General features: G+C 38.8%; 1 protein-coding gene across 13 annotated transcripts in view; it reads left to right on the plus strand.

The window, feature by feature from the left end:
- POU2F1 (POU class 2 homeobox 1) overlaps positions 1 to 12,590 on the plus strand; it is a 206,461-nt gene that overhangs the window by 133,252 nt on the left and 60,619 nt on the right. For all 13 annotated transcript variants that reach the window (NR_037163.2, NM_001365848.1, NM_001365849.1 and 10 more), the window contains one exon: positions 11,331 to 11,431. Coding sequence is in view for 12 of the 13 variants with exons in the window: in NM_001365848.1 (NP_001352777.1) it covers positions 11,331 to 11,431 (101 nt within the window). In the remaining variant the exon portion in view is untranslated. The remainder of the gene's footprint in view (positions 1 to 11,330; positions 11,432 to 12,590) is intronic.

Here is a 12,590-nt window from a genome sequence, read left to right on the forward strand (position 1 = left end):
TATGACTACATTAGAATGTTTGTTTATTCCATTATTGATGGACATTTGGGTTATTTCTAGGCTTTTGCTATTACAAATAATATGGCTATAAATGACTTTGTACTTATCTCTTGATACATATTGTGAAAAAGTCCCCAGAGTATTTTCTTTATTTTTATTTATTTATTTATTTTTTGACAGAGTCTCACTCTGTCACCCAGGCTGGAGTGCAGTGGCACAATCTCAGCTCACTGCAACCTCGGCCTCCCGGGTTCAAGCAATTCTCCTGCCTCAGCCTCCCTAGTGGCTGGGATTACAAGCACCCTCCACCACGCTCAGCTGATTTTTATATTTTTAGTAAAGACGGGGTTTCACCATGTTGGCCAGGCTGGTCTCAGACTCCTGACCTCAGGTGATCTGCCCGTCTCGGCCTCCTGAAGTGCTGGGATTACAGGTGTGAGTACCCAGAGTATTTTCTTAATAGTGTTATTGCTGAACTTGTTCTAATGTTACTTAGTACTGCCAGCCAGTTTTCCAGAGCATTTGTACTGGTTTATACTGCTACTAATAGCAACTGGGATTAACCGACTTTGCAATTTTAGCCAATTTATCAGGTGTAAAATGGTATCTCATTGGGGTTTTAATTTGCATTTCCATAGTTTCCAAGCAGATTGAACATCTTTTCCTGTGTTTATGGGCCATCTGTGTTTCTTCCTTTGTTAAATTCCTGTTCATTTATCTTGCCTATTTTTTCTGTTGGGTTGACTTTTTCTTATTGACTCATAGGAGTTCTTTGTGTATTCTGAATACTAATCCTTTGTTGTTTGTATGGATTGTAAATATTTTCTTTTTTCAATTCACTTTATGTAGCCCTTTGATGAGCTTTTAATTTTAAAGTAGTTAAATTTATGTGTTTTCATCTTTTGGTTCTTGATAAAGAAATTCTTCACTTTCCCAAGGTTAGAATGATATTCTTTTATGTTATCTTCTAAGAATGTTATAGTTTTGCATTTCACATTTTGGCTTTTAATCCTTCTGAAATTTTCATTTTTCTTTCTTTTTTTTTTTTTAGTATAGTGTAATGTGTCTAGTTTTTTGTTTTTTGTTTTTTAAATAGATACCCAGCTACCCCTTTATTAAAAACTCCACCCTTTCCTCATTGATCTGTCATCTTTCATCCCTTCCTCACCTCTGTCATGTTTCAAGTGTTCATAGGTGTGTGTACCTCTGTCTCTAGACTCTGCACTGGTATATGTGTTGATCCCTATGCTAATACCACACTGCCTCAATTATTATTGCTCTCTAAATGTTAATATCTTGATAATCCACGTCTCCATGTTTTAAAGAACATCTTGGCCCCATGCCATTCTATGTAAATTTTAGAATCAACTTGTTAAGTTCTACCCCTCTGCTCCAAAAAAAAGACAGAGAGAAAATAATTTATTGAGATTTTCATATGAATTTACTTTGAATCCATAGGTCAGTTTGGGGAGAACTGACATTTTTACAATATTGAGCTGGCATCTGTCTATACAACTGGCATACTATAATAACTGCACATTTTTAATTACTATTTTTTTTCACTATGTTGCTCAAGCTGGTGTCAAACTCCTGGCCTTAAGCGATCCTCCCACCTCTCAAATCTCTGGGATTATAAGTGCGAGCCTCCATGCCCAGCCATGTCTTTGTTTTTAAATAAAGTTTTATAATTTTCTGCCTATGGAACTTGCTGTATTTTGATAGATTTATTTTCAGGACTTTGTATCTTTTAAGTGTTTATAAATAAAATCTTTAAAAATTGTTTTCATTTGGAATATACAAAGACAATTTTATTATTATTATTATTTTTTGAGACAGGGTCTCACTTTGTTGCCCACACTGGAGTGCAGTGGCAGGATCATGGCTCACTGCAGCCTCGACTTCCCTCAGATCAGGTGATCCTCCCACCTCAGCCTCCTAAGTATGTTACTTAGTACTGGGACTATACTGTTACTAAGTAGCTGGGACTATAGGCACGTCCCACCACGCCTAGCTAATTTTTCTTTTTCTTTTTTTTTTTTTTTTTTCTTGTAGAGGCGGGGTTTCACCATGTTGCCCAGGCTGGTCTCTACTCCTGGGCTCAAGGGATCTGCCCGCCCTGGCTCACGCCTGCTAGGATTACAGGCGTGAGCCACCCTGCCTGGCCACAAAGGCAGTTTTAAAGTAGATTTTGTGTGCTGCATCCTCATTAAACTCTCTTATTCTAATAATAAATTATTAGATTCCTTAGAACATTCTGTACACACAAATCACCTGCAAAGGGTTTTATTTTGTTTTTTCCAACTCAGATGTTTTCTTTTTTGTCTTGTTTTGCTGGATAGGCCTTGGAGTATGATAGAAGTAGTAGTAGTGTTACCAGTGGCAAATATCCAAGTTTCACAGCATCAAATGTGTTACCGGTAGAAGGTATTTGAGTCACTGGCGGCAAATATATACGGGTCTGCAGCAACTTCAATTCTTGCCTCCTCAGAAGAAAGAATTCGACTGAGGGGCATAAGGCAGCAGAAGAGACCAAGGCAAGTTTCAGAGCATGGGTGGAAGTTTACTTACAAAGGCTTTAGAACAGGAAAGAAAGGAAAGTACACTTAGAAGAGTCCCAAGCAGGCACCGAGGTCAAGTGCAGTGTTTAACCTTGATCCTGGGACTTTATAGGCTGGCCCCTTTCCCATGATTCTTCCCTTGAGGTGGGCTGCCCACATGTGTAGTGCCCTCCTTACCCTTGGGAGGTGAGCAGGCGCAGTGTGTTTAGGAAGTTGTAGACATGCCCATCTGAGGTTTTCTTCCCTTTTCTGGTGGTGTGCCCCCAGAAGGTCATATTCCGCCATTTTGTCTCTTAATGCACATGCTCAAGAAATTACTTCTCCCTGGTCCCTGCCTTCAATTAACACTTTAGCACAACAGGTGTGGACCATTAGGAAATGGCCTTTCCCTGAAGCCGGCTGCCAATTTATCACTTAGGCAATATGAAAACTGCCAGACCATCACCCGACATTCCTAGTGGGCAAGGGAAGAGCCCTCTGCCCTGCTCATGCCTGTCTACCTATTGTAACAGTAACTGGCCCCCTTATCTTCTTCTTAATCTTAAAGGAAATGCTTTTAATTTTTCACCATAAACTATGATGTTTATTTATTTTAATGCTTATTCTTTATCAAGTTAAAGAAACTTGTATTCCTATGCCAAGATTGCCCCCCCTCCCCCACGCCTCCCCCCCCACCCCCCCCCCACCCCCCCCCGCTTCTTTGTGAGACGGGGTCTCACTTTGTTCCCCAGGCAGGAGTGTAGTGGTGTGACGTGGGCTCACTGCGGCCTCAACCTTCTGGGTTCAAGCAGTCCTTCCCCTCTCAGCCCAAGTTGCTGGGACTACAGGTGTGCACCATCACGCCTGGCTGATTTTGGTATTTTTGGTAGAGATGGGGTTTCATCATGTTGCCCAGGCTCATCTCAAACTCCAGAGCTCAAATAATCCACCTGCCTCAGCCTCCCAAAATGCTAGGATTACAGGTGTGAGCCAGCACACCCAGTCCTTATGCCAAGAATTTTTATCATAAGTGGATATTGTATTTGTCTAAGAGTTTTATGCATCTTTTGAGATTTCTATATGATTCCACCCCGCCCTTTATTGAACTTGGTGAATCTTATTAATTGATTTTTTTTTTTTTTTTTTTTTGAGACAGAGTCTCACTCTGTCTTCAGGCTGGAGTGCAATGGCGCTATCTCGGCTCATTGCAACCTCCGCTTCCTGGGTTCAAGCAATCCCCCTGCCTCAGCCTCCTGAATAGCTGGGACTACAGGCGCACATCACTACACCCAGCTAATTTTTGTATTTTTAGTAGAGATGGGGTTTCACCGTGTTGGCCAGGATGGTCTCGATCTCTTGACCTCGTGATCTGCCTGTCTCGACCTTCCAAAGTGCTGGGATTACAGGCATGAGCCACCGCATCTGGCCTAATTGATCTTTTTTCTTTTCTTTTTTTTTTTTTTTTTTTTTTTGAGACGGTGTTTCGCTCTTGTTGCCCAGGCAGGAGTGCAGTGGCGCGATCTCGGCTCACTGCAACCTCTGCTTCCCAGGTTCAAGTGATTCTCCTGCCTCAGACTCCCTAGATCTACCTTAGCCATAATATTTTATATTAGTAGATTAGGTTTGCTATTATTATTTAGTATTTTTTCATATATGTTTATGAATGAAACTGGCTTGTATTTATATTTTTCACACTTTATCAGGTTATGGTATCGAGGTTATGCTGGTCTCATAAAATGAGTTAGAAGTGTTTCTGGTTTTGTTGTTCTCTGGAAACGTTTGTGGAGGATTAGAATTATTTGTTCCTTGAATTTTTGGAAGCACTTGGGTAAAATCAACAAGGCTTTTTATTCTCTTGGGAAGATTTTTACTTACCTACTAATTCAGTTTCCTTAAATGCTGTGGGACTCTATGGATTTTCTATTTCTTCTTGAGTCAGTCTTGATAAATTATATTTTCTATAGAGTTATTCATTTTTAAGTTTTAATTGTATTGACATGAAACGCTTCACAATATATTCTTAATCTTTTTATTATCTGCAGCTTTTTTTTTTTTTTTTTTTTTGAGACAGGTTCTGACTGTGCTGCTCAGGCTGGTCTTGAACTCCTGGCCTCAAGTAATTCTTCTGCTTCAGCCTGTCTAGAGTGCTGGGATACAGGCTTGAGCTACTGCACCTGACCTGCAGCAGTTTTTGATAGGCCTTTTTGTTACACTTAAATTGTTTGTTTGCTCCTTCTCTCTTATTTTCTTGTTCCATCTTACCAGAAGTTTATACGTTACAAAGTGACAAGATTCTTTTGAAAGAACCAAGTTGGTGTTTCTATTATGTGGAAGTTTTTTTTAATGGTATTCATTATTGGTCTTACCTTTATTATTACCTTTCCCTCTATTTTCTTTGGATTTATTTATTTCTCAGTGCTCTTATCCTTATCTTCTCTGTACCATTTAATAGTATTAAACCACTCCATCCTTGTAGCTTTCTCATCCCTGGCTCCTGAAACACACTAGACTTTTTTTAAAAAAAAAAAAACTATTTTTGTTTTAGATGTAGGGGGTAAATGCACAGGTTTGTTACATGGGTATATCGCCTGATGCTGAGGTTTGGGATTCTAATGATTCTGTCACCCAAGTAGCAAACCTAGTACCGTAGGTAGTTTTTCAGCCCTTGCCTTCTCCTTCCCTTCCCCCTTTTGGAATCCCTAGTTTCTGTTTCTGTCTTTGTGTCTTATGTGTTTAACTCCCACTTAAATGTGAGAATATGTGGTATTTGGTTTTCTGTTCCTGTGTTAATTCACTTAGGAAAATGGCCTCCAGCTGCATCCGTATTACTGCATGGATTTTGTTCTGTTTATGGCTGCATAGTATTCCACGGTGCATATGTACCATATTTTCTTTATCTAATCCACTGTTTTGGGCACTTGGGTTGATTCCATGTCTCTGCTGTTGTGAATAGTGCTGTGATAAACATGCAAATGCAGGTGTCTTTTGGGTAGAACGATTTATTTTTCTTTGGGTATATATCCAGTAATGGGATTGCTAGGTTGAATGGTAATTCTGTTTTTAGTTCTTTGAGAAATTGCCAAACTGCTTTCCACAGGGACTGAACTAATTTGCATTCCTACCAACAGTGTGTACGTGGTTTTTTTTTTTTCAGCTTTGTCAACATTTGTGGGTTTGTTTTTTTTTTTTTTACTTTTTAATAATAGTCTGCCTAGTGTGAGATGGTATCTCATTGTTATTTTGATTTGTATTTCTGATGATTAGTGATGTTGAGCATTTTTTCATGTTTGTTGACTTGCTTGTATGTCTTCTTTTGAGACGTGTCTGTCTTTGCCTGCTTTTTAATGAAGTTTTTTTTCTTGTTGATTTAAGTTCCTTATAGATTTTGGATATTAGTCCTTTTTTGGATGCACAGTTTGCTAATATTTTCTCCTATTCTGTAGGTTGTTTATTCTGTTGATAGTTTCTTTTGATAGTTGGTTTTGGCCCTCAGTGTACCTATCTCCTCAGTCCTGTCTCTTTAGTTTAATTAAATCCAAGTTGTCTGTTTTTATTTTTGTTGCGTTTGCTTTTGAGTAGTTAGTCATAAATTCTTTGCTTAGGCCAATGTTTACAAGAGTATCTCCTAGGTTTTCTTCTGGGGTTTTTACAGTTTGTGGTCTTACATGGAAGTATTTAATCCATCTTGAGTTAATTTTTGTATATAGTGAGACGTAGCGGTCCAGTTTCATTCTTCTGCATATGGTCAGCCAGTTTTCCCAGCACCGTTATAGGGTGCCTGTTCCCCATTGTTTATTTTTCTTGACTGTGTCAAAGATCAGTTGGGTGTAGGTGTGGGGCTTTATTTTAGAGGTCTCTACTCTGTTATATTGGTCTGTGTATCTATTTTTGTACCAGTACCATGCTGTTTCATTAAGTAGCCTTGTAGTATAGCTTGAAGTCAGGTAATGTGATGCTTCTGGCTTTATTCTTTTTTGTTTAGGATTGCCTTGGCTATTCAGGCTCTTTTTGGTTCTATATGAATTTTAGAATAGTTTTTTTCTAATTATGTAAAAAAAATGATGTTGGTAATTTGATAAGACTAGTGTTGAATCTGTAGATTGCTTTGGGCAGTATAGACATTTTAAAGGTATTGATTTTTCCAACCCTCGCTCATGGAATTATTTTCTATTTGTTTGTGTCGTCTGTGATTTCTTTTAACAGTGTTTTATAGTACTCATAGATATCTTTCACCTCCTTGATTAGATGTATTCCTAGCTGGTTTTATTTTATTTTATTTTATTTTTTATTTTTTTCAATTTTGTGGCTACCGTAAATGGGATTGTATTCTTGATTTGGTTTTCAACTTGAACGTTATTCATGTATAGGAATGCTACTGATTTTTGTACATTGATTTCGTATCCTGAGTCTGCTGAAGTGGTTTATCAGGTCTAGGAGTCTTTGAGCAGAATCTTTATATAATTTTACTTCTGCTTTTCCTATTTAGATGCTGTTTATTTGTTTCTCTTGCCTGATTGCTCTGGCAAGGACTTTCAGTACTATGTTGAATAGCAGTGGTGAGAGTGGACATCCTTGCCTTGTTCTTAGGGGAAATGCTTTCAACTTTTGACTGTTCCATATGATATTGGCTATGAGTTTATCATAGATGGCTCTTATTATTTTGAGGTATGTTCCTTCAATGCCTAGTTTATTAGGAGTTTTTATTATAAAGGGATGTTAGATTTTATTGAATGCTTTTTTCTGGTTCTATTGTGATGATCATATGGTTTTTGTTTTAATTCTGTTTGTGTAGTTAATCACGTACTGATTTGTATATGTTGAACCACCCTTACATCCCAGAAATAAAGCCCACTTGATCATGGGGAATTGACTTTTTGATGTGCTGCTGGATTTGGATTACTAATATTTTTTGAGGATTTTCGCATCTATGTTCATCTGGATGTTGGCCTGTAGTTTCCTTTTTTTGTTGTATCATTGCCAGATTTAGGTATCAAGATGATGCTGCTTTCATAGAAGAAGTTAGGGAGGAGTTCCTCCTACTTGATTTTTGGGGGATAGTTTCAGTAGAATTGGTACGAGCTCTTCCTTGTACGGCTGGTAAAATTTGGCTGTGAATCTATCTGGTCCAGGGATTTTTTGGTTAAGTTTTTCATTACTGATTTCGTTTAATTACTCATTATTGATCTGTTCAGGATTTCTGTAAACACACTAATCTTGAATGGTTTTTTTTCTACTTTTCCAACTGCTCCTTCTGTTTCTCTGTGTCTTCATGTCTCCTAATGTAGGTGCTCCTATTATGTCTCCTAATGTAGGGTGCTCCTTTTCTCCCAGGCACACAAAACCAAGTGCTATTTGGTTTTGGCCCGCAATGTACCTACCTCCACATTTCTAGCTCATACTTAACTTCCAGTTGGGGTATGTGTGTGTGTATCTGTTTCTCTCTCCTTTCCTTGTAGTCCAATTTAGGTCTTTATGTTTTACAAGAATGATTTCCATGTAATAACTACTTTCTTCTACTTCTCACCTCCCAGTGGAGCCTCAGTTGCCACAGTAAAAGAGGTTAACCTACCTTAGCACCTTAAATTCCTCTATTTATCTGAGTAGTTGTCTAAGAGTATTCTTTTTACCTTACTACCTTTGAATACTGTTTTGTATTCTGTTATGAGGTGGTTAGTCCAGTGTGGCCACAATAGGTGACATAAGAAAAGCTCAGGAAAACAAAGTTTATTATACTCACAGGTCCTAGAGACAGGAGGCACAGCACACCATGCAGGGTCACATGGGGAAGACACCAGAGTGGTGAGGAGGCAGAATATAGGAGTGAGTGGAAGGTTTAGGCCACTACCTTTGCTGGAGTTTCTAAAGGGGAATAGTTAGGCCATCACCTTTTTGCAGTGGCATGATCGTAGCTGGTTGCAGCCTCGAGCTCCTAGGCTCAAAGGATCCTTCCTGCCTCAGCCTCTGAGTAGCTGGAATTAGAGGGGAAAGCTACCCACTGGCTCTAGGCCACTACTTTTGTTGGGGTTTCTGTGGGAAAGTCAGGACAGAGTAAACAGTTTAGGATTGGCTAATTTGAATAATTTTAGAGGGCTTTGGGACCACCTAGGGGTCGTCTCTAGTTGCCCAGTACCTGGCCCTAGGATGAAGGCAGAATATTGCCTGTAGAGTCTGATTGAGGAAGTATAGCTCTAGATTGGTTAGTTTGTGTATCAAAGACATGCTCCTGACTGGGCCCTTTGCTGTCTCCAAGAATTGACTAAACCTGGGAGGGGCAGTCTCTCCCCAGCCAGAAAGGTTTTTATGATGTCAAAATATCATAATACATTAAAAATGTAAGAACATTTTACAATACAGAGACCATGCCTTCAGCTCCTCCTCCCCCCCAAGGCAGAACCAGGGCACTTAAATACTATTACCAGTAGACCATTGTACCAGGGATACTAGACATCAATGTCTCTGTTACTTAGTGCTTTGTGACTTATAAGAAGCTTTGATAGCATTTTTATGGCAACTTGAAAGTGGAACCAGTATATAGAATTTTCACAAACTCCATGAGAGTGGAATATTTGGTTCTGGAAGACCTCCTATTAGTAGTGTGTTAATCTTTTAAGTGCTTGTCTCGGTTTTTCAAAATCTCATATTCTTTTAGTCTTGTTGATTTATTTAATATATCTTGAGCATGTTTCTCTAATGGTGAACAGTCTCTTTTTCCTCCAGTTTTATTGAGGTATGATTGACAAAATAATATAATGCTGTACTATCTTAAAATCTCCACAAAGGGACTGATATCCTGCATAGAGATAGAGATAACAACTAATGACAAAACGCATGACTTTAAAATAGTGAAACTTCTACATGTGGCTTATGGAAGTGACTACTTACTTGACTAGAATGTCTCGTTGTGGAAAAAAATAAAAAATAAAGGAGGTGATTCTAATTACATTTTATTTTCACGCAAGTTTTCAATTACTTGACACAAGCATGCATTCTTAATTTTACTAACTGTATATGTCTAAGTAGTTCTGTAGTTTTCTATTTGTGGAAGACTTTAGGAAAAAATAGAAGCGATTTTATGATTTTTAGAAAGTGAAATATTCATACATATCTTTTATAATTATCTCAAGGAAACAAATAGGGCTCTGCTTCATGTTCTATACCTAATTATTCATTCTTATTTAAGTAATACATCTGCCAGAAATTAGGATGTGTATATTGGCAGACGTTAGCACTGTCTTACAAACACTGCTGTAAGGTTCTAACTTTGTGCTCTTCTGACTGGTTTGCTCTGGATGTGTGTGCACATGTAAGTGTAAGGATGGGAAGAATGGGATGTTTGAGTGGTAGGAAATGGAAGTGTAGAACCATATCCATGGTCTAGACAATTCTTAGAGATTCCTGTGGCCTATTATATTTTATTCAGTACATAATGTTCTGGCTTTTTAAAATAATAACTGGATATAGTAATTTGAAAACAATGTATTATAATCCCTTAGAAAATATTTCTGGGTGTTAGGGTGGCATGTCTTTCCATAAATTAGCCCTATTCTAATATCAGATCACAGCAGAAGTGGTTAAAAAGCTCTTGCATGGCTCACGCCTGTAATCCCAGCACTTTGGGAGGCCGAGGCGGGCGGATCACGAGGTCAGGAGATCGAGACCATCCCGGCTATAACGGTGAAACCCCGTCTCTACTAAAAATACAAAAAATTAGCCGGGCGTAGTGGCGGGCGCCTGTAGTCCCAGCTACTTGGGAGGCTGAGGCAGGAGAATGGCGTGAACCCGGGAGGCGGAGCTTGCAGTGAGCCGAGATCCCGCCACTGCACTCCAGCCTGGGCGACAGAGCGAGCTCCGTCTCAAAAAAAAAAAAAAAAAGCTCTTGCATAACATTTTTTTTTCTTTCTTTCTTTCTTTTTTTTTTTTTTGAGACAAGTTTTAGCTCTATTACCCAGGCTGGAGTGCAGTGGCGTGATCTCGGCTCACTGCAACCTCCACCTCCTGGGCTCAAGCCATTCTCCCTCAGCCTCTGGAGTAGCTGGGACTTCAGGCGCACACCACCACACACCTGGCCGATTTTTTATAGAGACAGGGTTTCACCATGCTGCCCAAGCTGACCTCGAACTCATGAGCTCAAGCCATCTACCCACCTTGGCCTCCCAAAGTGCTGGGTTTACAGGCATAAGCCATTACACCCAGCCTCGCATAACATTTTGAAAAATATAATTACAGCAGGGCCCTTGCTAATGAGATACATGCAGCAATCTGTTGTTTAGGATTAAAGGAATTAGTACAGCTATTGTTTTCTTTATGCTTATCATGGAGAAGGTTGCTTTTTGCCATCAGATTGCTATTCATTAAAGTGTTCAGAGTTAATAATAAGTCTTTCTTGCTCTTGGCAAAGTCGCCAGTGAATTTCTTCTGTCTAAGCCACATATCAAGTAGGCTGAAAAATAGAAGAGAGCCTCAGGGTGTCTTTGAACTCTGTTCCTGTGCTAGCTGCTCCAGTTGCTGCATTCACATCTGAATTTTCACATACCATCTTATGATTGTAATTTATTATTTATATTTTTGTTTCTGTTTCTTAAGCTTTATCAGTGTTTGTGTACTTGTCATGCAGTCCTGCTTTTAGAAGATAAACCAGTTTACTGTTTCCTTTCTTTTGAATCCCTTCTCCTTGGAGGTACTTAGAAAAGTACTTATGCAAAATAGGTGCCTGATGAATGTTGGTAACTGAAATCTAGTGCTTTATTTCATTTATTTCTTTTAATAGTTGAAATTATTTTGCTTGCTTTCTAGGCACACAAACCAATGGTCTGGACTTTCAGAAGCAGCCTGTGCCTGTAGGAGGAGCAATCTCAACAGCCCAGGCGCAGGCTTTCCTTGGACATCTCCATCAGGTAGGAATGTTCTGCTCAACCATCAGTGAGAGTGAAAGATAGAGGCGTAAAGTACTGGGGCCTGAGGAAGTTATTTCAGAATGTGGGACCTTTTAAATTATTTAAAGCCTAGTGCTAATTGTGTAATTGTGTCATTCTATTTGGTTAGTATGAAATCCTATGGTTTAGTTGAGTGTATAGTCATTGACCCCACAGGTGTGTGGGAAACAAAAGAATTCCTTGTTGTGAATGGAATGTGTATAACAACTGGTTTATTGTTTTTATAAGTGGGTATCTGTGGTGGCTATCTGATGGTAGCAAATTATCAAAATCATCCAGAAAGATGTAGCTACCATTGCCTGAGACCTGCTGTGTAAGGCTCTGAGCTCCAAGCTCATTTCTGTCCTCTAAAACAGTTCCAGACCATGACAGTTGATTTGGGCAACTACTCAGAGGCTTTTGCTTGACTGTGACCCCCGCACCCTAGTTTGAGGTTCAAAAGACTCTGCCTCAACTTTATTACCCTATGTCACAACATTTTTTTCCCTGGGTCTAAAACAGACCATGAATTCTGTTCATTCATGCTTTAGCTATAATGTAGAGGGAATGGGAATAAAAAAACAAACACTGGCTACTCAATAGTTTTGGAATATGGAAGCTGGTTGAAAATGGAAAACAGTGAAAACAGTTGGGAGCTAGATTATCAGAGTGTCTCAACCTCTTGACTTATGTTCACAATTATATATTAGACCAATATTTTGGTGGTCTATATGTGTTGATAGTAATGGTGCTAGTGATGGTGCCTAATGATGGTAGTGGTAGTGATTCAGTGAAAAACCCATATGTACATAAGACAGGTTACATATTAATATACTGAGTTACTGAGCACTGAATATATACATCTTACTAAAGTCTTTTCATCAAAATATGTCATCAGACCACCTAAACTATAAAAGAAATTCTTCTACTTGAAAACAGGTAAAATCCTGGAAGCTGTTCTAAAGCCCATTTATTTGTTCACAGACTCAAATGGATATCATGTAGGCAGCAGTTATTATCTGTTACAGTGAGGCCTAATGGAACACTTTTGCTCAGGCACATAGCTTCGTTTATATCTTTGAAATGGAAAAACTTTGACATTAACTTCCAGATAAAATATTAAAATGAATTAACATCTAAA

The sequence above is a fragment of the Homo sapiens genome, chromosome 1 (genome assembly GCF_000001405.40).
Source record: "Homo sapiens chromosome 1, GRCh38.p14 Primary Assembly".
Taxonomy (NCBI): domain Eukaryota; kingdom Metazoa; phylum Chordata; class Mammalia; order Primates; family Hominidae; genus Homo; species Homo sapiens.